Source organism: Homo sapiens, chromosome 14, assembly GCF_000001405.40.
Source record: "Homo sapiens chromosome 14, GRCh38.p14 Primary Assembly".
NCBI lineage: Eukaryota > Metazoa > Chordata > Mammalia > Primates > Hominidae > Homo > Homo sapiens.
In genome coordinates, this window is record NC_000014.9 from 91,033,305 (window position 1) to 91,058,352 (window position 25,048).

The window sequence follows — 25,048 nt, forward strand, 5'->3', positions numbered from 1 at the left end:
TTTTTTAACGTGACAATAGAAACTGTTGGGCCGGGCACTGTGGCTCACACCTGGCTCAGGCCGAGGTGGGCAGATCACTTGAGGTCAGGAGTTCAAGACCAGCCTGGCCAACATGGCAAAACCCTGCCTCTACTAAAAATACAAAAAATTAGCTGGGTGTGGTGGTGCATGCCTGTAATCCCAGCTACTCGGGAGGCTGAGGCAGGAGAATCACTTGAAACCGGGAGGCAGAGTTTGCAATGAGCCGAGATCACGCCACTGCACTCCAGCCTGGGCAACAGAGCAAGACTCTGTCTCAAAAATAAAATAAAAATAAAAACTGTTGGACAGAATGAAGAACAACCAGATTACTTACACAGTACTGTTAAGAGTATAAATTAATAAAACTATTTTGAGATAAAATCAGAATTATCTAGTACAGGTGAAGATGTGTATACCTCCATGACCACTAGAGTATTTAACTTGTAGGCATGTATCTGAGAGAAACTCTTATACATTTGTACCAGGAGAGATGAAACAAAAAACGTTTACAGCAATATTGTTTTTAATAGGGAAAAAGAAAACTCAAATGTTCATTGACAGTAAAGTAGATAAATTATAGTCTTCATACACATAAGTTTAAATCTATGAAAATGAATACAATACACCTAACACACAACAATGTAGATAAATCCAAGAACATAAGGCTATGCTGTATGCAGCATAAAGAATTCTTTTTAGGCCAGGCGCAGTGGTTCATGCCTGTATTCTCAACACTTTTGAGAGGCTGAGGCAGGCAAATCACCTGAGCCACAGCATTAGAGACCAGCCTGGGCAACACAGCAAAACCCTTACATAAAAATACAAAAAAATTTGCTGGGCATGGTGATATACACCTGTAGTCCCAGCTACTTGGGAGGCTGAGGCAAGAGAATAGCTTGAACCCGGGAGGCAGAGGTTGCAGTGAGCCAGGATCACACCATTGCACTCCAGCCTGGGAGACAGAAGTAAAAACCCTGTCTCAAAAAAAAAAAAAAAAGATAAATTTGATCCCAAAATATTCATATTATTCATAGCTGTCTGAGGTGATGAGAGGTGAAGCCAGCTGGACTTCCTGGGTCGAGTGGGGTCTAGCTAGAGGATTATAAACGCACCAATCAGTGCTCTGTGTCTAGCTAAAGGACTGTAAATGCACCAATCAACACTCTGTAAAAACGCACCAATCAGCGCTCTGTGTCTAGCTAAAGGATTGTAAACGCACCAATCAGCACTCTGTAAAATGGACCAATCGGTACTCTGTAAAATGGACCAATCAGCATGACATGGGCAGCAACAAATAAGGGAATAAAAGCCAGCCACCCCAGCCAGCAGCAGCAACCTGCTCGGGTCCCCTTTCACGCTGTGGAAGCCTTGTTCTTTCACTCTTCACAATAAATCTTGCTGCGGTGCACTCTTTGGGTATGCACCACCTTTAAGAGGTGTAACACTCACCACGAGGTGCATGGCTTCATTCTTGAAGTCAGCGAGACCAAGAACCCACCAGCAGGAATAAATTTCGGACACAGTGACATTCATTAAGTGTTCCTCTATTCTGCTTTAAGTCAATCCATTTAGTGGGCACATAGTATGTACCACAAAAAAGAAAAAAAAAACAGTTTGCTGGTTTAGAGGTGTTCACAATTTGATGGGGGGAGGGGAGACAAATATATAATTACAATGCAATATAACAAATGTAATTAGGGAGAGGTAAGGTAGTTAGAACACAAGGAAACAGAATATCTGAGCATGGAAACTGGAAAGCTATATGGAAAGACTTCAAAGGAAAGATGATAATTTGAGCTAAGCCTTTAAAAGTACACAGAAACTTCTGGATGTGGGCATCAATGAAGTCTGCCTGATTTCACATCTCCCCACTCACCCTTAAAAAAAAAAAAAGACCATAAAACCAACAAGTAAAACTGCATATGAACCACGCTGTACTAGTACTAGGAGACAGAGTATTACAACCTTCAAATTACCTGTCATAGAAAAATAGACCAAATTCCAACAGAGCTGCTGCTACAGCAAGACTAAGGAAGGGAGGCTTATGGGACACTAAAAATGAGTAGGGGGGCATGGACTTAGACAAAGCAAGACAAAATCATCCCCCAGAAAGAGTCCAGCCATAAAAGCCAAAATATTATACATAAGTCAGGACGTGGGTGCTTTAAAGCACCAGCCAGGAAACAGGTGTGATGGTTAGCCTTGGAGAAGCACAGCTTGTGAGGGCAAACCAGATAGAAGGGTAGGTACATTTGGAAACACTGCAGTAAAGGGAAAGAAAGAAACAAGAGGAAAAACAGAAAGGATCCAACAGAAATGAAGGAGAAACAAGATATACCAAACCCATCTCCTCCCCCAACATCATCTATAAAAGCTACTGCACAGGAGGGGGCTATGGAATGTTTTAAGTAGAAAATGAAGAGATATACCCAAAAAAGCCAAACAGAGACACAGAAAACTGTTTAAAAAGAAAATCAGAAGATGCTAATCAAAGCATTTCAGCTGATGAAACCCTCACCTTCAAAAAAAAAAAAAAAAAAAAAAAAAAAAAAAAAACCCCAAAGCTGAAGAATATGGTAATACAACACTCCAAACTGAATTAGGTATCTTCAAGCAAGCACTTAGGGTATGAAAAAAAAAAAATCCTGAAGCAGAAATACAAAAACTAAGAACAGAAATGAGCAAACAAACAAAAAAGAAAGAAACGAAATGAGTTGACAGGACTCAAAAAAGAAACAGAAAAGAGTACACAGACATTTTCAAAATAGACTGTGGGGGGTGCAACTCCCCACAGTGAAGCACAGGAAAAGGAAAAGAATTTATTGACAAATGGATGGGCATGTGCATGGCCCAACTTGTATACTGGTGAACTATAACCAACCTGTATGGACAGTTAAGAAGCTCCAGACCACTGAGGACTTGGAAAGACAAGCTAACTAAGGCCTACTGATTTCATCTTCAAAGGTCGGAAGACAGTATAATGAAGGAAGAAGAGAGTATGTTTTGATTCAGTTGAACTCAGTTTAGAACTAAACTCTACCATTTACTAAAGCTGTGCTGATCAAGTATTTTTACCACTCTAAGTCCTTTATTTGTAACAGGATGGATGGATGGGTGGGTGGGTGGATGAATAGGCAGATTAGCTAGGAAGGCAGGTAGACAAACAGATCCATGCACACAAATAACAAATGTACTTGTATGAGCCTGGGTTCTTCCCCAAAGCAGCACATCAGAAAAGGACATTTACATGCAGATAATTTAGCTGGAAGGTGAAGTAAAGGACCAAGGAACATGAAACTGGAAAGGAGCATATGCCAATAAAAAGCTACCTTTATCGAGGTCACTGCTGTGGGTAACTGGAGCTCAATTTTGCCAGGATTCCCTAAGGAACCATTAGAGTGCTCTCAGAATTGTCAATTGTCTGTGCAAGGACAAGGAAAAGAATTTCTCTACTGGCTCCTGCCCCCTCTAGTTCAGGGTTGCCCAAGGGGAGCATTAACTTCCTAGCACTTCCAGGCTGCACATGCCTGTATGCTCTCTCACCTGTACCTTCTGCTGGGTGGACAGTGGAGACGCCTTGGAGCAGAAAGGAAAAGATGCACAGTGAGCATGCTCAAGACAAGACACTGTTGGGATAACATGAGTCAAAGCTTGCATGAGGGAGTTTGAAGATGACGTCAAATGGTGCTTAAGAGAGAGCTAACAGAATACAGCTTGAATCCCCTCCTGCCTTTGGTCACTGAGTCTTCAAGGAGAAACTACTACCTAATGGGGACAGGAAAGAACTTATCTTGAACTCAAGGGATATAGTGGAATGTTTTTTATTGCTTCCATGCCTGCTGAATAATTCTAAACAGGCACTGGAAGCAACCACAGCCCAACAACAGCAAGGCAAGAGAAGATCCCCCAGAGATGAAGGTCTGAATCATACAAGTCAACTAACATCCTAGTTGGCTGTCATCTTTCTTGCCCCATGACCTATCCTAGTCACTGCCCCAAATCTCTGTGGATAAAGACACCCTGAATGCCACTGTGGCCCATTATGGTAATTACATCCACCCTAGCCCTAATGGTATCACCATCTGGCCTATGCCATTCCAAAATCCTATCATTGCTATGGATACTAGGGAACATAGCTCCATGGAAGCATCTCCTATCAACTCCAGCCTGTGTCCCCTCACCAGTGCATTCTTAATTACCTTGGTGAATGAAGTGTTTTCTTTGGACCTTCCTAAGAAGTATGGTCAGATAGTGTGTTCTCCAGTCTCATATAGTAAATCCATTCTAAAACTCTCTCTTCTCTGTGAGTTCTGATCTCAATATACTCTGCCAAAGAAGTTCTTGCATATTTATCTAATGTACTATAGGTCATACTCATGTCCAAGCTTCAAGAAACCATCCCACCAGTGTATCCTAGGACCAAGTTATTAGGATGTCAAATCCTGAGTTACGAATAGCGTTCCCATGTTAATAAATTCTCCCTTATTCATCCTTATTATTCCGCCAGCCCACTCCAGGCAAGACCTGCAAGATCCACCTCCCTAAATGTTCCTTCTGTTCCTACTGGTACATATTAGCCAGGTCCTGGGATTACGTGCTTGAGTATTTACTCCCAGAATAAGAAAAACATCCCTGATTAGGCTATGCTGAGATTGTGTCTAGCTATTGTTCTGGAGGAAATAGGGGTGAGAGATGGGACAGAGCTTAAGGAGAACAAGTATCACCTTGTAAGAAATCCATCTCTATGTGATCTCTGCCTGGTTTCCAAACAAGGAAAAGTTATTCTCTCTAACAAGGTGTTGATCCTGCCTATCCAGAGGACTCAGGAAAATTAAGGAGTTCAAGATTCTCAGGTCATCCACTTAGAAGTCTCCTTCTGAGATTTCATCAGGGTCCTACTCTTCCCATGTTAGGGTCAGACTTTGGCCCTGAACACCTGTCAAGGGTGTATGAGAGGTAGGACCACTATGAATTATACAATAAGAGACTTATATAGGAGTTTGGCCTCACACAGGTGTGGGAGTTGGTTAAAGAGTCTGTATAAGACTGCTTCCACATCTGGAGTTGTAAAGGAAAGAGTAATACAAAATAGAAAAAAGTAAGAATAGACTGGAATCCCAAAGACAATCTGGAACCCATGAGGACAAACAAGAGTCCATGTCTGTCTCTCACCACCTTCAGGCTTCCAAACTCAATGATTCAGATAACCTGCAGAAAAGCTGTACACACTGGCCCAGAATTGCCAGAAGCTGATGGCAGTGATGCAACAAGAGCTGAAGGAGCCGCAGACCTGGCTACTGCTCCAAACCAACAATATGACACAGCAGCTTAGCAATCATGTGTGGGAGTTACAACAGTGCCTAGTACCAGCACCAATCTTTAGCCATAAAATATATCCAGCTGCTGCTGCTTCACTTCTGTCTTCCAAATCTCACTCAAAATGTCTCATGGCCAGTGCTAATCTAGAGCCTAGAAGGGAGTTCTGGGAAACATAATTCCAGTTTAGCCCAGTTGACACAGTACAAACCCACCACAGAAGGTATACAGCTCTTTCACCCTTATGATTAAATCTTCAGCCTGATTTTTGGCATAATCTGTCCTATAGTCACAAGCAATGGGGATCTTTCCAAATGCTGCCATAGGCCCTCTTTTCACAGTGTACCCTGCATTGATAACTGGCTGATCTCTTGTCCTCAAGATTTCAAAAGCTAAAAGAGGTCCATTAACTCCAAATCCTTATTGATTTCCACCATCCCCATACCATTCAAGTCCTAGAGCTATCAATTAACCCAACTCTTCACCTTCCATTCAATTCTAGTCCCAATCCCCTGAAGGTAAGAGTCTTATTAACTGTGCTGTGATGCATGCAGGGGGCTATTAGTACCCACTACCACCAGCAATGGGGTCCTTGTTGCAGTCTCACCAGTAAGTCATCCACTCTGAGATCCCAGTGGATATTGTCAATTTCTAGAACCATGGTAGATAATAAATGTCTTAGCCTGGATTCATGAAAGCGATTTGGAAGGTAATCCCAATCAGAAGTGAGGAGGAATTGAGAGTGAAATCGAGAATAAAGAAAAACCAATACAAAAATGCATTACCAACTCAATCTGATCTGGATCTTTTGAGGAACATATGGAATGCCCCTCAGAATTTTCTACTCTCAGATCAATACAAATAAGCATTTATTTTCAGCTCTCATACTCCATTAGTTGAAGGTTGCCCCAGTGGGACATCAAGGTCCTTATGTTTCTGAGATGCACATTTATGCTTCCTGAGCCAGTTCCCACCAGAGAACTAAGCCTTGGAGGAGTCAAAAGCCTGGGACGGAAAGTAAACAATGTGCAGCAATATGTGCTTAAAACCAGGTGCCATCACCTTGAAGTGAGCTGAAGCCCAAACAGAACTGTTTGTCACAGCCCACAGCCACAGCTTGACTCCAGAGTAAGGCAGATAGAAGGATGAGGTTGCGCACCACAGGTGTCAAATACAGTACCCATCACATAGGTGTGCTGTGAAAATTAAGTAAGATAGGCAAAATCTTGGAAGAGGCCTGACACATAAAGCTAAATAAATGATAGCTATTATCATTAGATTAGACACTGAACTTAGACTATGGTAATGGCAATGATGAGCAAGAAACAAATAAAGGAGGTATTAATATTTCAGAGTTATAACTGACACAACTAGGAGAGTAAGTTGGTGGGTGGGGAGAATGTGAGAGAGAGGAAGAAGTCTGGATGTTTCTAACTAGAGTCCTGGCAGAATAGTGAATGGCATGCCACTAAATAAAACATGGGGCCAGGTGAGGTGGCTCACGCCTGTAATCCCAACACTTTGGGAGGCTGAGGCGGGCAGATCACTTGAGGTCGAGAGTTTGAGACCAGCCTAGAACCAATATGGAGAAACCCCATCTTTACTAAAAATACAAAAATTAGTGGGTGTGGTGGCGCATGCCTGTAATCCCAGCTACTTGGGAGGCTGAGGCCGGAGAATCGCTTGAACCCGAGAGGTGGAGGTTCCAGTGAGCCGAGATCATGCCACTGCACTCCAGCCTGGGCAACAAGAGCGAAAGTCCGCCTCTTAAATTAAATTAAATTGAATTAAATTAAAAAATAAAACATGGAAAGCTGGAAGAAAAAGTATTATTAACCTCAGAGTCTAAGGTGCCTGTGGACTATCCAAATGTTTTGTGTTTAGTGGGCTGCTAGAAGTGATAAGAAACTCAAGAAAGGGTCTTGAAAACCTGAAAGAGATGTAGGCTGAAAATAGGGCCTGGATACTAGTTCAAGCAATGATAACATTTGCTTTCCCAGGAAGAATGCATACAGTTACAAGAAAACAGGGCTGACAATGGAGTACCAATATTTAAGGCACAAGCAGAGATAGCAGCTAATGTAAGGAGATGAGGCAGTCACCGATTGAGAAGAACCAGGTAGAAGAGCACAGTTTGTCACTGGGCAAGGGGAGGAAAGTACCAATATCCAAGCACTGAGTGCTCTACAGAAATTAGGTTAGATTCAAACTGAGACATTTCCACCAGATTAGGAACAGGGAGACATTAGTAACTTTAGTGAAAGCAGTTTCAGTGGAGTGCTTGAGATGGAAGCTTGATCTTCCAGCAGATCCAGTGAATGGGGCATAAAGAAGTAGAAACAGCTGGTATCAACTGCTCTTGCAAAAACTAGTGGAAGGAGGGATAATAGAAATAACTAGAGGGCGACAGAGAATTTTTTTTTTCTTTTTTCTTTTTACAAAAAGACTCAAATGTGTTTGTGGGAAGGAGAACCTGAGGATCAGGAAAAGGGGAGAACAACATGGAGTAAAGTCTCTGAGGAAGCAGAAGATTTCAAAAACAGGTGCAAAGCACAATCTGACTCAATCATCCTTATTTAATAGGCTTGGATTCGCTTTCAATATGCCAACTAGGAAATATGTATTTAGTCTCTCATTTACTGGGACAACAACTTTTTTTCATTTCCCTTGTCTTTTTTACTCAACATCACAAAACATAAGCTTCTTAGACTAATTTAGCTTCAGTCAAAAGGTGACAATTGTATGCAGAGAGAAAAAAATCTTTTTCTGCTATTTGAGATTATTTTTTTCTTTTTGTCAGGCGGAAATAAATTATTTATAAAGCAATTTACCAGATAAGCTCTAATTTAGTGGTTGCCCAGTATAGTATTGACAACACATACATAACTCTGAAATCTAAAATCTTTAACTCCTGTCTACAGGGTCCAATTAGCCCAAGTCTAGGGCATACATAAGAACTTAAAAATAAGCTAAATAGCTAGCACATTCAAGTCCTTTTAACTGCCAGGTGCTAAGCTATTCTGAAGCTGTTTAGATTTGTGGTTGGGCCTCAAACCGTGTCTCTGGACAGCATTCTGCTGGAGGCAGAACCAAGTTATATTTAATATCTGTGTACTTTAAAACAATGCTGCCCACTTTGCTCTTATTGTCAGGTCACTTACCTTGAAGACTTACTGTACTTCTGGTGTATAAAACGGCAGTGTTTACATATCCAACCGATTTTGGAATTACATGATTGAGCCAGTATGAAAGCTGAGTCAATAAGAAAACAAATGCTTATAAAGCAGTAACAAACAGGCTTTTTTTTCCCAATACATGTACCAAATAAATTTAACTTAGAAGAACTAAACTAAATATAAAACACTTCAAAAAGGAGAAAGAGAACATTAAGCTTACTAAGAATTCTGGCATGATCCAGAGAACACGTTCAGGGAAATGACCTCTGTGGAAAGTACAGAAGCATTTCAATGGTTATGCCTGAAAACCTCTTTCAGTAAGTTGTTCTATAACATTCTATAAACTTTCATCTTATAGCATATACATTTTGTGTCAACTTTCTGTGTTTTTCCATATCTAAGAATTTTTTTGGCTGGGCACAGTGGCTCACACCTGTTATCCCAGCACTTTGGGAGGCCGAGGTGGGTGGATCACGAGGTCAGGAGTTCAAGACCAGCCTGGCCAGATGCTGAAACCTCTTTTCTACTAAAAATACAAAAAAAAATTAGCTGGGCTTGGTGGCACGCGCCTGTAATCCCAGCTATTCCGGAGGCTGAGGCAGAGAATTTCTTAAACCTGGGAGGCAGAGGTTGCAGTGAGCTGAGATCGCACCACCGCACTCCAGCCTGGGCACAGAGTGAGACTCCATCTCAAAAAAAAGAATTTTTTTGAAGACCAGAATCACAATTTTTAAAAAACAATGATGCTATTTTTCTCTTTTTGGATAAAGAATTGCCTTTTCTTCATAATTTGAGAAGAAAAAGAATCATGCTCGAAACTCAAAACTCCCATATCTTCCTGCCACCAAATCTGCAAATGGACCTGTATCCTCTACCTCTTCCTTCCCATTAAATAATAAAAGCAAGTCTTTTATCGGACCTCCTAACCCCCCAGGTGCACAACATCCCATCCCCCTTCTCAGGACCATGACACCATCGTCTATCCCATCTTGTACAGTTTTAATAGCTATGAAACTGTAGTACTAGGCTAGGTCCAGCCTAGTAATACTTAAGCACGCTCTACCATCACTCATCTTAAAACAAGGACACAACAAATAAACCCTTCCTGAACCCCATATAGCTCTCTGGCTAAGTCCCTCTCTTTAATATCCTCCAGAACCAAGTCTCTCAAAAGTTATCTTCACCTGCATTCACTCCTCAATCCATTCCAATCCGGCTTCTCCCACCAAATCTCCACCAAAATTGTTCTTGATGAGGCCATTAGGTAGTCAGTCAAATTGATCCCCTGCCACCCCCTAAAGCATCTTTTCTCCTTAGCTTCCAAACACCACAACTTTCCTAGGTTTTCTCCTGGTTTTTCTTCTGGCTGTTCCTCCTCTGTATCATTTCTTAGCAACTCTTTTTCTATCGATTCCTTTAATTTTGGGAGTTTTTCAGGACTCAATTCTGAGTCTTCTTCCTCTCCACTCTAAAATCTCTCCTAAGATGATCTAACCTACTACCTTGGCTTTAAATGTCATCTAATGGTCAATGATGCTAGGATTTTAATCTGCAACCCAGACCTCTTTTACAAGCTCCTGACCCATATCCTACTGATCCCACTAAGCACAGTGCTTTAGATGGGCCTTGTGGCCAAACTGCTTCAGTTTCACAACCGATTCTTCTACTTACTTCTTGAGTAACCCTGAACAAGCCGGTGAGCACACTAAGACTCAGTTTTCCTATACGTAGATTGGAAGAAGAATAATAATAATTCTCACTTCACTGGGTTGCTGTTTAGGTTAAATGAGTTGATGAAAGCACCTACTATCTAGCACATTATCTATGATTACTTATACCATAGATGTCCATCAGAATATGTCAAAGGCATCTCAAACTTACTTTGATAGGTACAAAACTGGATCCTATCTTTTCTGCCCACCCCGATACGCATTTCCCCTGGTTCACTATCTTCTGTGACTTCTAAGGAGGAATTCTTAGATGACCCCAATGACCCTAGCCTTTGTATAATCTCCTCCCCTTGAGTGAGTGAATATCACGAAATCACACACTTGTGATAAAGGGATTTTGCAGATGTAATTATGGTCCTAAATCAACTGACCTTACGATAAGAAAATTATCCAAGTAGGCAGGACGCAGTGGCTCACGCCTGTAATACCAGCACTTTTGGCGGCCAAGGAGGGTGGATCACCTGAGGTCAGGAGTTCAAGATCAGCCTGGCCAATATGGTGAAACCCTATCTCTACTAAAAATACAAAAATTAGCTGGGCATGGTGGTGGGCACTTGTAATCCCAGCTACTTGGGAGGCTCAGGCAGGAGAATCGCTTGAACCCAGGAGGTGGAGGCTGCAGTGAGTCGAGATCGCGCCATTGCACTCTGGCCTGGGCAACAAGAGTAAAACGAAAGAGAGAAAGAGATGGGGGAGAGAGGGGGAGAGAGAGAGGGAGAGAGAGAGAAAGAAAGAGAGAGAGAGAGAAAGAGAGAGAAAGAGAGAGAGAGAAAGAGAGAGAGAAAGATAGACAAAGAAAGAAAGAAAGAAAGAAAGAGAAAGAAAGAAGGAAAGAAAGAAAGAAGGAAAGAAAGAAAGAAAGAAAGAAAGAAAGAAAGAAAGAAAGAAAGAAAGAAAGAAAATTACCCAAGTAGGCCTAACCTAATTACATGAGTCCCTTTAAATCCGTACCTAGAGGTCAGACAGAAGGGGGTTTAGAAGTCAGAAAGTTAAAGTATGGAAAGGATTTGACACACTTTTACTGGATTAAAGATTGAAGACCCAGGCTGGGTGCGGTGGCTCACGCCTGTAATTCCAGCACTTTTGGAGGCCGAGGCGGGTGAATCACGAGGTCAGCAGTTCGAACCAGCCTGGCCAACATGGTGAAACCCCGTCTGTACTAAAACTATAAAAATTAGCCAGGTGTGGTGGCAGGCACCTGTAATCCCAGCTACTCGGGAAGCTGAGGCAGGAGAATCGCTTGAACTCAGGAGGCAGAGGTTGCAGTGAGCCGAGACCGCACCATTGCACTCCAGCCTGGGCAACAGAGCGAGACGTGTCAAAAAAAAAAAAAAGAAAAAAAAAGGTGGAAGAGACAAATGAGAAGAATGAAGATAACCCCCAGCTAACAGCCAGCAAGGAAACTGGAACCTTGGGGAACAAATACAGGAACTGAATTCTACCAACAAAAATGAGTTTGGAAGTAGATTTTTACCCACAGCCTCCAGACAAGAACTCAGTCTGGCTAACACAATAATTTAGGTCTCATAAGGATTTATAATCTACTAAACTGAGAGCTAATAAATGGATGCTATTACAAGCCACTACATTTGTGGTAATTTGTTATGCAGCAATAGAAAATAATTACATCATTTCAATAAACAGCATCTTCAAACACACATTTGTTCCAGCCACAAAACCCCATGTCAATACAATACCAAGTTCTGCTGATTCTTTTTTTTTTTTTTTTTTGAGATGGAGTCTTGCTCAGTCACCCAGGCTGGAGTGCAATCAACGGCGTGATCTTGGCTCACTGCAACCTCTGTGTCCCAGGTTCAAGCAATTCTCCCACTCAGCCTCCTGAGTAACTGGGATTACAGGCACCTGCCATCATGCCTGGCTAATTTTTGTATTTTTAGTAGAGATGGGGTTTCGCCGTGTTGGCCAGGCTGGTCTCGAATCTCTGACCTCAGGTGATCTGCCTGCCTTGGCCTCCCAAAGTGCTGGGATTGCAGGCATGAGCCACCGCGCCTGGCCTTTGCTGATTCTTATTTCCTAAGTGAATCTCAAACACATTCACAATTGTTAATCTCAATTGTTACCTATTCTAAACCTTTATATTCCATTTGAATTTCCACAGTAGTTTCCTACCTGGTTTCCCTTCATATAATCTCTATACCCACTCTCCTCACAGAAATAGGAGTCATCTTGTTACAAAGCAAAACTAATCTCATCATTCTTCAACTGGAAATCTTTCAATGGCTTCACATGACACTCAATGTCTAAACTCTAGAAACCCCTGCATGAAATGGCCCTGGCTCCCTTCTCAGCCCCATTTCCTGTGACTCTCCTGCTTGAATGTCACACTCAAGCCAGACACCTTCCTTCCAGTAACTCCAGTGTGCCAAGCCATTTCCCATTGTGTTGGAAGACCATCTGTGTTGCTTCCTTTGATAGAAAGGCTTTGTTTCCCCGCTCTTCACCCCACAACAACCAGGGCCTCAGCTTCAACACGACTGCTTCCCAGAAGCTTGCCATCATCCCTTTTGGGTTCTCTCACAGAACTGTGTATTTCTTAACTGAGTTCATCATAATCGCAATCATAGGGTTAGTTATTTAGTGATTATGTATTTAAGGTCTCTCTCTTAGGTATTATACAATAAGCGTGGCAGCCAGGTCTAATATGCTCCCTACTAAAACCCAGCATCTAGTGCAGTGCCAGACACACAGTAGGAATTCAATAAACCCTTATGGGTGAATAAAACTGGCTGTTTTGCCCAACTTATACAAGACAAAATTAGGTCAAAGTTATGAGTTTGATTTGCATATGGCCCCATTATGTTTGTTCTATTTTAGCCCTAATTATGATGCTTCAATACACACAAGTAACATTAGTATAAAGGTAAAAAACATAGGTAAAATCATGGGAGTGGGCTAGTGCAAATCTACCGCTAAGACTCTGTTCATGCTGTCTTCATGCAGCATCATATTTAGATAGAAAGTGTGACACTATCCTTATTACACATCTTAAATATTTCCTTTAAAAAAATACATAATCTCACTTCAGATTATTATGATGTGATTAGAGGACAGAGTGCTTCAGTTGACTGAATTTTCCAGGTAATGATGGAGAATTCTACTTATATAGAAAACCGCATCGTACAAAGACAGACCTGTGTATGATTCTCCACCCTTTTACCTCTAGCATTCTTTTAAGTATGCCCCCATTTTATTGTTTATCATTACGTATTTTCTAAAATTAAAAGTGCTTCTAATTAATCAGAGACCTTACTACTTCTCTTTTTCAAAGAAATATAAAAATAGCATGAACACCATATGACAAAGATTTTATTTAAGAAGCAAAACAGGCCCGGCATGGTGGCTTACGCCTGTAATCGCAGCACTTCTCTGGGAGGCCGAGGCAGGTGGATCACTTGAGCTCAGGAGGTCATTGAGGCTGTAGTGAGCTGTGATCACATCACTGCACTACAGCCTGGGCAACAGAACAAGACCCTGTCTCCAAAAAAAAAAAAAAAAGAAGAAGAAGCAAAACACTGGACATAAAGTCAAATATCTTCCCATATTTTCCCTACTACTTATGTTTATATATAAATGTACTTATTTAATTATATGTTTACCTAATCCTTGCCTTGGTCCAGAAAAGATGTAAGGCAAATTACCAGCATTAATTAAACCATAAGAAAATAAGAAGAAAGAACAAGGGCACAAAACACTGCCAGGATAAGACTCAATATGCATGCCAAACCATACTTCTAAGTGGTGTAGGCCTGAGATTTGACACTTTCTAACCACCAACTTGGTAAGAGGTCTGCTCAGCCACCCACTTCAGAGCACTCCTATGAAAAACAGAACAGCTGGTCAAAAGCAGCACAGCTAGCCTTGGTGCTAAGATCAGAAAGGAATGTCTCCCTGCAGATTCATTAGAGAAGACACCATTCTACTTCTACAAAGAATGACACGTGTTACCATTTTCTGGCAAAACAGTTGTTTAAATAACTGACTGCTTCACATTCTGTTATCACCCTTAGTCACCCATATCTTGGGGCAAAATTATCTCCTGGTTAATCCAATCTTAGTAAGTTGTATTAGTTTCCTGTAACTGCGGTAGAAAATTAACATAAACCTCACGGCTTACTAACACCACAAATTCGTTTTCTTATAGTTCTGGAGATCAAAAGTCTGAAACTGGATCTCATGGAGCTAAAATCAAGGTGACAGCAGAGATGTGTTCCTTTTGGATATTCTAGGTGAAAATCTGTTCCCCTGCTTCTAGAGGCTGTCTGCATTCCTTAGCTCATGGCCTCCCTTCCAGCAATGGCATCACTGATCTGTTTCCTCATATCTCCTCCTCTTTTTCTCTGCTTCATCTTCACATCACCTTCTCTGACTCTGGCCCTCCTGTCTCCCTCTTACAAGAACTCTTGTGATTTCATTGAGCCCACATGGATTACCCAAAATAATCTCCCCATCTCAGGATACTTAATCACATCTGCAAGGTCTCTTTTGCCATGTAAGACAACATGTTTGCGGGTTCCAGGGATTAGGATGTGGGTATCTTGGGGGAGTGGTCATTATTCAGCCTACCACACAAGCCTTCATCATGTATTTGCTTGAAGCTACCTAAATTGTAAGAATAGTACTAGGAAAATCTACATAACAGTAAGAGCCACAAGTGGAAAACTTAAAACATTTTTAAAATACAAGAATTAATGATATAATTATTTTAAGTACCAAATTCACTTTCTATATTCCAGAAAATAGGATATACAAAAATATTATTTACGCAGTTTTTGCCAAAAACACACTGACTATATAAAAAGAAGCACACCTACACAAAAACTTGAGTGTGAAATAAAATAACTGCAATACCCCAAGCACTATACTAAAAATCAGGAACTTTACTTCCTCATTCTCCCTGCAGTCACAGGGGAGGATGCCTACTGAATACTTTTTTAAAAAAGAAAGAAAGAAAAAAGTGAGACAGCCAGCTCACTCACAACTTTAGGAGTATATAAAATAGAACTTCTGTGATTTTTGGAGGAATAGCTAGCTACACTTGAACCGAGAGGGACACTGCTAGAAACAAACATAATGAGGCCAAGGTTCTATTTTAGACCCTATTCATCTTCCCTGAAAAACAAGATGAATGTAGGAGTGATCATACCTTTGAGGTGCACAGAGAGATCTGTAAATCATGATGGGAGCTCAAAGGAGATAACTGTGACAACCCCTCCCTCCCACAGCACTTTAGGATTGACATCTCTCAACAGTGTATTTAATTGTGAAGCTTCAACTAACACATGATGTTATTATGTTAGATTTTCCCTAGAGCAGTTTTCACCAAGAATCAGCTTCTTTTTCACAGGGAAGAATTCAATCCTGTTCATCAAACCACTTGTGTCTCCAGGAAGCTGAGGCTTCAGAATATTTCCTTGCTTTGGAGCAGAGGTTAATGTTGGGTCTGATACAGTATTAGACTTAACATCTGAGGCTTTTCCCCGCTACAGACTACAAATACAAACTATACCTGAATCCCCCTTGACAGAAGGGATAAGATGTCACCTTCTTTGACCCATTAGATCATTTTCTTAATCTCTAAAATTCATGGTAGAAAGTTAAGAAGGGATTTTCTTTTAAGGTCTAGGCACTAGGGAACCAAATTAGAGTACTGTTAATAATCTATTCGTATTTTAACCATCCCAATGTATCCTATAAACAAAAGATAGAGCACAAGTTCTTCCTACTCTTCTCAAAGTGAGGAAAATGTGAAAAAAAGAGACAAGTCGGCCGGGCGCGGTGGCTCACGCCTGTAATCCCACCACTTTGGGAGGCTGAGGTGGGTGGATCACAAGGTCAGGAGATTGAGACCATCCTGGCTAACACGGTGAAACCCCATCTCTACTAAAAAATACAAAAAATTAGCTAGGCATGGTGGCGGGCGCCTGTAGTCCCAGCTACTCGGGAGGCTGAGGCAGGAGAATGGCGTGAACCAAGGAAGCGGAGCTTGCCGTGAGCTGAGAGCTCGCCACTGTATTCCAGCCTGGGCGACAGAGCAAGACTCTGTCTCAAAAAAAAAGAAAAAAGAAAAAAGAGACAAGTACTACAAAAAAAGTACAAACACACAACACACACATATTCAGTATGCGTTGCTTAACAATGAGAACATGTTCTGAGAAACATCATTAGGTGATTTCATGGTTGCACAAACACCATAGAGTTTACTTACACAAACCTAGATGGTATAGGTTACTACACACCTGGTATATGGTATATAGCCTATTGTTCCAAGGCTATAAGCCTGTACAGCATGCTACTGTACTGAATACCATAGGCAACTGTAAAACAATTTTAAGTATTTGTGTATCTAACCAGAGAAAGAGTAGAGTAAAAATACAGTAACGCAATTTCATTGACCACAATCTACATGCAGTCTGCCATTGACCAAAATGTCATTATGCAGCTCATGAATATATACATTTACATATGTATAGTATAAAAAGGAGAGCTGCACTGTACTCATACATAACTACAACTGTCACTGAAATCTTTCAAAGTTTCTTACTGGGCTGCCTATAATCTCAGCACTTTGGGAGGCTGAGGCAGGAGGATTGCTTGAGGCCAGAAGTTCAAGGCCAGCCTGGGCAACATAGCAAGACCCTATCTCTACAAAAAATAAAAAGAAAATTAGCCAGGCATGGTGGTATGTGCCTACAGTCCTAGCTACTTGGGAGGCTGAGGCAGAAGGTTCACTTGAGCCCAAGAGTTTGAAGCTGCGGTGAACTATTATCACCACTGTATTCCAGCCTGGGCAACAGAGAAGACCTTATCTTCAAAAATAACAAAAACAAAAACAAAAACAAAGCATCTTATTGGCTTGTTTTTTGTTTGTTTGTTTGTTTTTGGCACAGTCTGACTCTGTCCCTCAGGCTGGAGTGCAGTGGCACAATCTCGGCTCACTGCAACTTCCGCCTCCCAGGTTCAAGCAATTCTCTTGCCTAAGCCTCCCAAGTAGCTGGGATTATAGGCATCTGCCACCATGGCTGGCTAATTTTTGTATTTTTAGTAGAGACAGGGTTTCACCATGTTGGCCAGGCTGGTCTCAAACTCCCGACCCCAGGTGATACACCCGCCTCAGCCTCCCAAAGTGCTGGGATTACAGGCGTGAGCCACCGCGCCCAGCCGGCTTGCTTTTGTAAGCTATGTTTGTTTAAAAAAATAAAAATAAAAAAAAAGCAAGTATCTTATTGGAACTAATAGTTATGTTTCTTAAAAGCTAATTACAAATCAAATCATTATTAATGGAACCACATTCAAAAAGCAGCAGGGAACTGTTGTTTTTCAACAGATCCAACATGAATCCTTTGGTAAAACAGGATGATCTTTTAAAGTAAATCATAGGGTCAGGTGTGGTGGCTCATGTCTGTAATTCCAGCCATTTGGGAGGTCGAGGCAGGTGGAGCACGTGAGGTCAGGAGTTCCAGACCAGCCTGGCCAACATAGCGAAACCCCACCTCTACCAAAAAATACAAAAATAAGCTAAGCGTGGCGGTGTGTGGTGGCACACACTTGTAGTCCCAGCTACTTGGGAGGCTGAGGTGGGAGGATCACTTGAACCCAGGAGGCAGTGGTTGCAGTGAGCTGAGATCACGCCATTGCACTCCAGCCTGAGCGACAGAGTGGGACCCTGTCTAAATAAAAATAAATAAATAAATAAATAAATAAATAAATAAATAAATAAAGTAAATCACTAGCCGGGAATGGTGGCTCATACCTGTAATCTCCACACTTTGGGAGGCAGAGATGGGAAGACTGCTTGAGCCCAGGAGTTCAAGACCAGCCTGGGCAACATAGTGAGATTCTGTCTCAATAAAATGAAATTTTAAAATACAACAACAATAAAGTAAATCACCACTCTGGACTTTTTATCATGAAACATCCTTTTATTTTTTTATTTTTTTGAGACAGAGTTTTGCTGTTGTTGCCCAGGCTGGAATGCAATGGTGCGATCGCAGCTCACTGCAACCTCCGCCTCCCAGGTTCAAGCAATTCTCCTGCCTCAGCTTCCAAGTAGCTGGGATTACAGGTGCCCGCCACCGTGCCCAGCTAAGTTTTTGTATTTTTACTAGAGATGGGGTTTCACCATGTTGGCCAGGCTGGTCTCGAACTCCTGACCTCAGGTGATCCACCTGCCTCGGCCTCCCAAAGTGCTGGGATTACAGGCATGAGCCACCATGTCTGGCCGAAAGATTTAAAAAAAAAAGAAAAAGCTCACCCAAACCAACTAGGAATAGAAGAGAACTTTGTCAACCTGAGAAAGAACATCTATGAAAAACTCACAGCTAACTTCATACTCAGTGGTAGAAGACTAAAGCCTTCCCCCTAGGATCGGGAAAAGACAAGGAACTAACTTTGTCTATACCAGAATTTCCATGGAAATGCCACAGAAGAGCTTTAATGCTCGTAAATACTTTGATTATAACTCAGTCCATCACCTTTACTTTATGAATCAAAAAACTTGGGCTCAGAAAGGCAAAATGACTTATCCCAGGTCATATAGCAAATTAGGGGCTGACTTAGAACTACAGTCCACTCCCTACCTCTGTTAAATCTTTACTTAAGGCCAGATGCAGTGGCTCATGCCTGTAATCCCAGCACTTTGGGAGGCCCAGGCAGATGGATCATCTGAGGTAAGGAGTTCAAGACCAGCCTGGCCAACATGGCAAAACCCCATCTCTACTAAAAAAAAAAAAAAAAAAAAAAAAAAAAAAAAATTACCTGGGTATGGTAGTGGGTGCCTGTAATCCCAGCCACTTGGGAGGCTGAGGCAGGAGAATCACTTGAACCCAGGAGGCGGAGGTTATAGTGAGCCGAGATCAGCACCACACTCCAGCCTGGGCAACAGAGTAGACTCGTCTCTTAAAAAAAAAAAAAAAAAAACAGATTTACTTAAGAGATTGTAAATATGGATACCACTAATCAAATAGATAAGATCTTTAGGCAAGCGCGGTGGCTCAAGCCTGTAATCCCAGTACTTTGGGAGGCCAAGGCGGATGGATCATGAGGTCAGGAGATCGAGACCGTCCTGGCTAACACGATGAAACCCCGTCTCTACTAAAAGTACAAAAAAAAAAAAAAGTTAGCTGGGCGTGGTGGCAGGTGCCTGTAGTCCCAGCTACTTGGGAGGCTGAGGCAGGAGAAATGGCGTGAACCCAGGAGGCAGAGCTGGCAGTGAGCAGAGTTCGCGTCACTGTACTCCAGCCTGGGAACAGAGCGAGACTCCATCTCCAAAAAAAAAAAAAAAAAAAAAGCTCTTTAGTTGGTGACAGAACTCAATCAAGAATATTTTGGGGAGACTAGACAGAGGTATCACCAAAAAAGAACACTACAAAGATTTCTTATGGATATAGATACAAATCCTTAATAAAATACAAGCAAACTGAATCCAGCAACAAAGAAAAAGGATTATATACCATGACAAACAAGATTTATCCCAGGAATACAAGGTTGGCTTAACATTCAAAAGTTAATTAATGTAATACACCATATGAACAGAACAAAAAAAATGGTCATCTTAATAGATGCAGAAAAAAGCATCTGACAAAATCCAGCACTCTTTCATGATTTAAAAAAACACCCAAACTAGGAGGAGAAGTGAAATTCTTCAATTTGATAAAATACATCTATGAAAAACCCATAGCTAACCCCATACTCAGTGGTAGAAGACTAAAGCTTTCACCCTAGGATCAGGAATAAGACAAGGATGTCTGCTCTTGCAAGTTCTATTGAACCATAGTGAAGGTTCTGGCCAAGGCAATTAAGCAGGAAATTGAAACAAAAGATATCTGGATTGGAAAGAAAGAAGTAAAATTATCTCTATCCATGGCTAACACAATCTTATAAATAGAAAATCCTAAGGTGTCCACTAAACTATTAGAACCAATAAACTAGTTCACCAAGGTTGCAGGACACAAGGTAAAAACTGTACCTCTATACTCTTGGAATGAACAATCCAAAAATAAAAGTAAGAAACTAGTTCCTTTTACTATAGCATCAAAAAATAAATAAATAATAAAATACTTAGAAATAAATTTAACAAAAGTGCAAATTTATACTCCTTAAACGGAAAAACGTTGTTGAAAGTAATTGAAGACAACCTAAATAAATGGAAAGACATCTCATGTTCATAGATCAGACGACTTAACATTGCTAAGATGGCAACACTGCCAAAGTTTAACTAAAAATTCAATGAGATCCCTATCAGAATGCCACTGAGTTGGCTTCTTTGCAGACACTAACAAGCTGATCCTAGAATCCATATGGAAATACAAGGAATCCAGAATAACCAAAACAATGTTGAAGAATAAGACTCACACTTCTCAATTTCAAAACTTACTAAAAAACTGTAGTAGTCAAGACAGCATGGTACTGCTATAAGGAGAGACATATAGATCACTGGAAGAGAACTGAGAGTATAAAATAAATAAACCCATACATCTATAGTCAACTGATTTTCAATAAGGGTGCCAAGACATTAAAATGGAGAAAAAAATAGTCTTTTCAGCTAATGGTGCTGGAACAATTGGATATTTACATGCAGAAGAATGAGTCTGAATCACTACCTCACATGATATCCAGCAATTACCTTAAAATGGATCAATGATCTAAATGTAACAGCTAAAGCCATAAACTCTTAGAAGAAAACAGAGACATCAATCTTCATAATCTTGAATTAGTCAATGATTTCTTAGACACAAGAATAAAATGAAAAAGAAAAAAAAAAGGTTTCATCAACATTAAAGACTTTTAGGGCCAGGAGCGGTGGCTCACACCTGTAATCCCAACACTTTGGGAGGCTGAGGCAGGTGGATCCCTTGAGGACAGGAGTTCAAGATCAGCCTGGCCAACATGGTGAAACCTCGTCTCTATTGAAAATACAAAAATTAGCCAGGCATGGTGGCACTCGCCTGTAATCCTAGCTACTCAGGGGGCTGAAGCATGAGAATTGCTGGAACCCAGGAGGCAGAGGTTGCAGTGAGGCAAGATCATGCCACTGCATTCCACCTGGGCAACACAGCAAGACTCTGTCTCAGAAAAAAAAAAAAAAAAAATTAAAGACTTTTAGGCCAGGCACAGTGGCTCACACCTACAATCCCAACACTTTGGGAGGCCGAGGAGGGAGAATCACTTAAGCCCAGGAGTTCGAGACCAGCCTGGGCAACATAGCAGGAACCCATCTCTATTATTTAAAAAAAAAAATTTTTTTTTAATTAAAGACTTTTGTGCTCCTAAGGAAACCATCAAAAAAGTGAAAAGACAGCTCATTTATGGAGGAAAATATATGCAAATCCATATTCCTGATAAGAGACATGTACCTAAAATACATAAAGAACTCTCATATCTCAATAATAAAAAAAGACAAACTAGCCAATTTTAAACTGGGCAAAGGATCTGAATCAAATTTCTCCAAAGGTATACAAATGGCCAATAAGCACATGAAAAGATGCTTGTCATTAGGCATTAGGGAAATGGAAAATCACTTCACACTCCCTATGATAAGCAAAAAGACAGACAATGTTGGTTAGGCTGTGAAGGAACTGGAGGCCTCATAAATTGCTGATGGGAATATAAAATGATACAGCCACTCTGGACAACAGTTTGGCAGTTTCTTACAAAGGTAAACCCAGACTTTGTTTAGCTTTGTTTTAACAAGTGATCCAGCAGTTTTACTGCTGTTACATACCCAAGAGAAATAAACATAGGTCCACACAAAAACTTGTCCACAAATGTGCAAAGCAGCATTATTTACAATAGCCAAAAGGTGGAAACAACCCAAATTTCAAACAAGTGGTGAATGCATAAACAAAACTTGGTATATCTATACAATGGAACACAATTTATCAACAACAACAACAAAATGAAGTACTGATGCATGCTACAAATGGATTAATTTTGCCGGGCAGGTTGGCTCACACCCGTAATCTCAGTACTTTGGGAGGCCCAGGTGGGATGATCTCTTGAGCCCAGGAGTTGGAGACCAGTGTGAGCATAATGAGATCCTGTCTCTACAAAAAAATAATAAATTAGCCAGGTGTGGTGGTGCATGCCCGTAGTCCCAGAGTTACTCAGGAGGCTGAGGCAGGAGGATCTCTTGAGCCTAGGAGTTTGAAATTATAGTGAGCCATGATCGCACCACTGCACTCCAGCCTGGATAGATTCCGTCTCCAAAAAAACAAAACAACAACAAAAGACATGGCATGGTAGGTTCCACCTCGCTGTCTCTCAGATCACTTGTTTTTGGGGAAACCAGCTGCCTGTCATGAGAATGCTCAAGCCACGCTATGGAGAGGCCCACATGGCAAGGAACCTGCCAACATGTGAGTAAGCCATCTCGGAAGGGGAATCACTAGACCCAGACAAGTCTTCAGGTGACTGCAGTCCTGGCCAACACCTTGACTTCAACTTCATGAGGGTCCCTGAGTTAGAATCAAGAAGCTTCCTGTGTTAATTCACTTAGGATTAAAAAAAAGAACCAATAAGCTAAGCCACTCCTAAATTCCTGACCCACACAAATCATGTTGTTTAAGCCACTAAGGTTTGGAATAATTTGTTACACCACAATACATAAACTTCCTCGACCTTCTCCTCAATGTTAGGCTCTCTCTCCTAATAACAGGCATCTAAGTAAATGTCTTCCCAGCAACTCCTCCTCTTCTTAGAGTTTAGTTTTATCCCTATCCATGTTTACAGAAATTGCTGCCATGTTACAAAAACATGATCCCATCCCCTGGCTTTAGGTGAATGATCCAAAAGTGGATACCTCACCAAAGGCAGGCCAAAAAAGTCCTTCCCTGAGATCTTTATAACTGAAGCTGAGAAGGCGGCGGTGTCTTTTCAGTAGTGGAAGCTGTAGGATGTAAAACTTGCAGTCTATCAACAGCATGATCTTTCCCATGTGGGAAAAGTGGCACAGTAGTGGGGAAGAATAAAGCCATCACATAGTGACAAGCAGAGATTCAAGGTGGACAAAATACAGACAATGCTAAGTTTCTGCTTCCAATGGTTCCTGATGCAACCCAGTTCTTCCAGTGGACAGACCATACATGTCCTATCATCCAAGCATCTAAAATCGCACCCAGTATGTAAGAGGAAATAAAATACTTACTAAATAAGTGGGTAAGATAACCCAATCTCCTTCCAATAATATCCTTTTTGTTATTGTTGTTGAAGATTTGATTATTTGAAAGCTAAAAGTCCTAACCCATTCTTTGCTAACTTTATACTTGAATATCCCTTTACTGTTATACTTAAGGCAGTATTATCTTTTTTTTTTTTTTTTTTTTTTTTTTTTTGGAGATGGGAGTCTTGCTCTGTTGTCAGGCTGGCGTGCAATGGCATGATCTCGGCTCACTGCAACCTCCGCCTCCTGGGTTCAAGAGAACCTCCTGCCTCAGCCTCCCGAGTAGCTGGGACTACAGGTACGTGCCACCATGCCCAGCTAATTTTTTGTATTTTTAGTAGAGATGGGGTTTCACCAGGTTGTCCAGGATGGTCTCCATCTCTTGACCTCGTGATCCACCCGCCTCAGCCTCCCAAGGCAGTATTATCTTAATTACTGGTTTATATGGCCTCCTCCCCTACTACTAGAGGGCGGGACATTTTCTTAGACATACATTCAAGAAATGTATGTTTAAGTGATCTGTTCAATCCTATACTCTGCATTCTTCAGCTTTTACAGTCACTGTCATCCACTTATCAACCACCTAACATCTGCAAGGCACTGGTAATACAATAAACTTACTAGACTTGCTCCTGGATTCTCATGCATTCAGTGAATCCATTCAACAAATATTAAGTACCTACTATATGCCAGGGGCTGCAAATAAACAAAGGACATGGTGTCTGCCTGCCTGCCTGCCCTCAAGGACCTTACAGTCTAATCTGTATTAGACTGTAATACAAGTAAATGGACTATTATAGTACCGTGTGTTAACTGTTACTGAAGAGATCCACACAGGCTGCTGAGCAGCCGCAAAGATTATGGCGAATTTACACTCTACATGAGAAGACTGGACATATACAGAAAAAGATAACAGCCAGGCAATGTGACATAGGCTAAACACTAAATGAGTGATTTGTTTCCCAAATTACACTGGATTAATTCACACACTTCAAGATAAGATACTATTATGGAATGATTTTTATATATACATTCAACCAACATTTCCTAAGGGCCCACTATATGCCAAGCAACCCGCTTAGCACTTTTCCAACAGTGTCTCATTCAATTCTCACATTTTATAGATTAAAGATGTGAATCTGAAAGGGTGAAGTGACTTGCCGATGTCTACATATTAAGCTGCAGAGACGGGATTTAGAATCATGTCTTCCAACTCCATGTCCTTTCATGGGACGTTTTTTGCTTTTTCATTCATCCTATGGAATACAATAAAGTGTTCTGCACAAATGAGCCACCACCAACTGCCAGCCTGATATAACTAGATGCTTATCTACATTCTGAGACGGGACCATATCAGATCAAATTACTCTGGTGCCTATTATAGATCATGTGCTGAAAGAAGTGCAGTTGGCTGAAGATGAGCAACTCTTTCAAGTTATATTTTAACAGTGTTTTTGACCACTATATCCGGTCAGTTGTTCCAGTGTTCAGTAATAAATCAAAATGATTGTTCGTTTCCTTTGACAGTTAACAGTACTAATGAATTCAGTATAATCTCACCATCCATCAGAAAAATTTCTAAAATGCGAACTTGAAGCTGATGATTCACACAGTTAGAAGAGAGGGGG

At 41.1% G+C, this 25,048-nt stretch overlaps 1 protein-coding gene across 14 annotated transcripts in view; it reads right to left on the minus strand.

The window, feature by feature from the left end:
- The window catches only part of RPS6KA5 (ribosomal protein S6 kinase A5), a 212,781-nt gene that overhangs the window by 185,444 nt on the left and 2,289 nt on the right, over nt 1-25,048 (minus strand). For 2 of the 14 annotated variants that reach the window (NM_001322235.2, NM_001322227.2), the window contains exon 2: nt 19,019-19,158. The exons of the other annotated variants lie outside the window; for them this stretch is intronic. The gene's annotated coding sequence lies outside the window, so the exon portion shown is untranslated. The remainder of the gene's footprint in view (nt 1-19,018; nt 19,159-25,048) is intronic. 14 annotated transcript variants of the gene reach the window in all.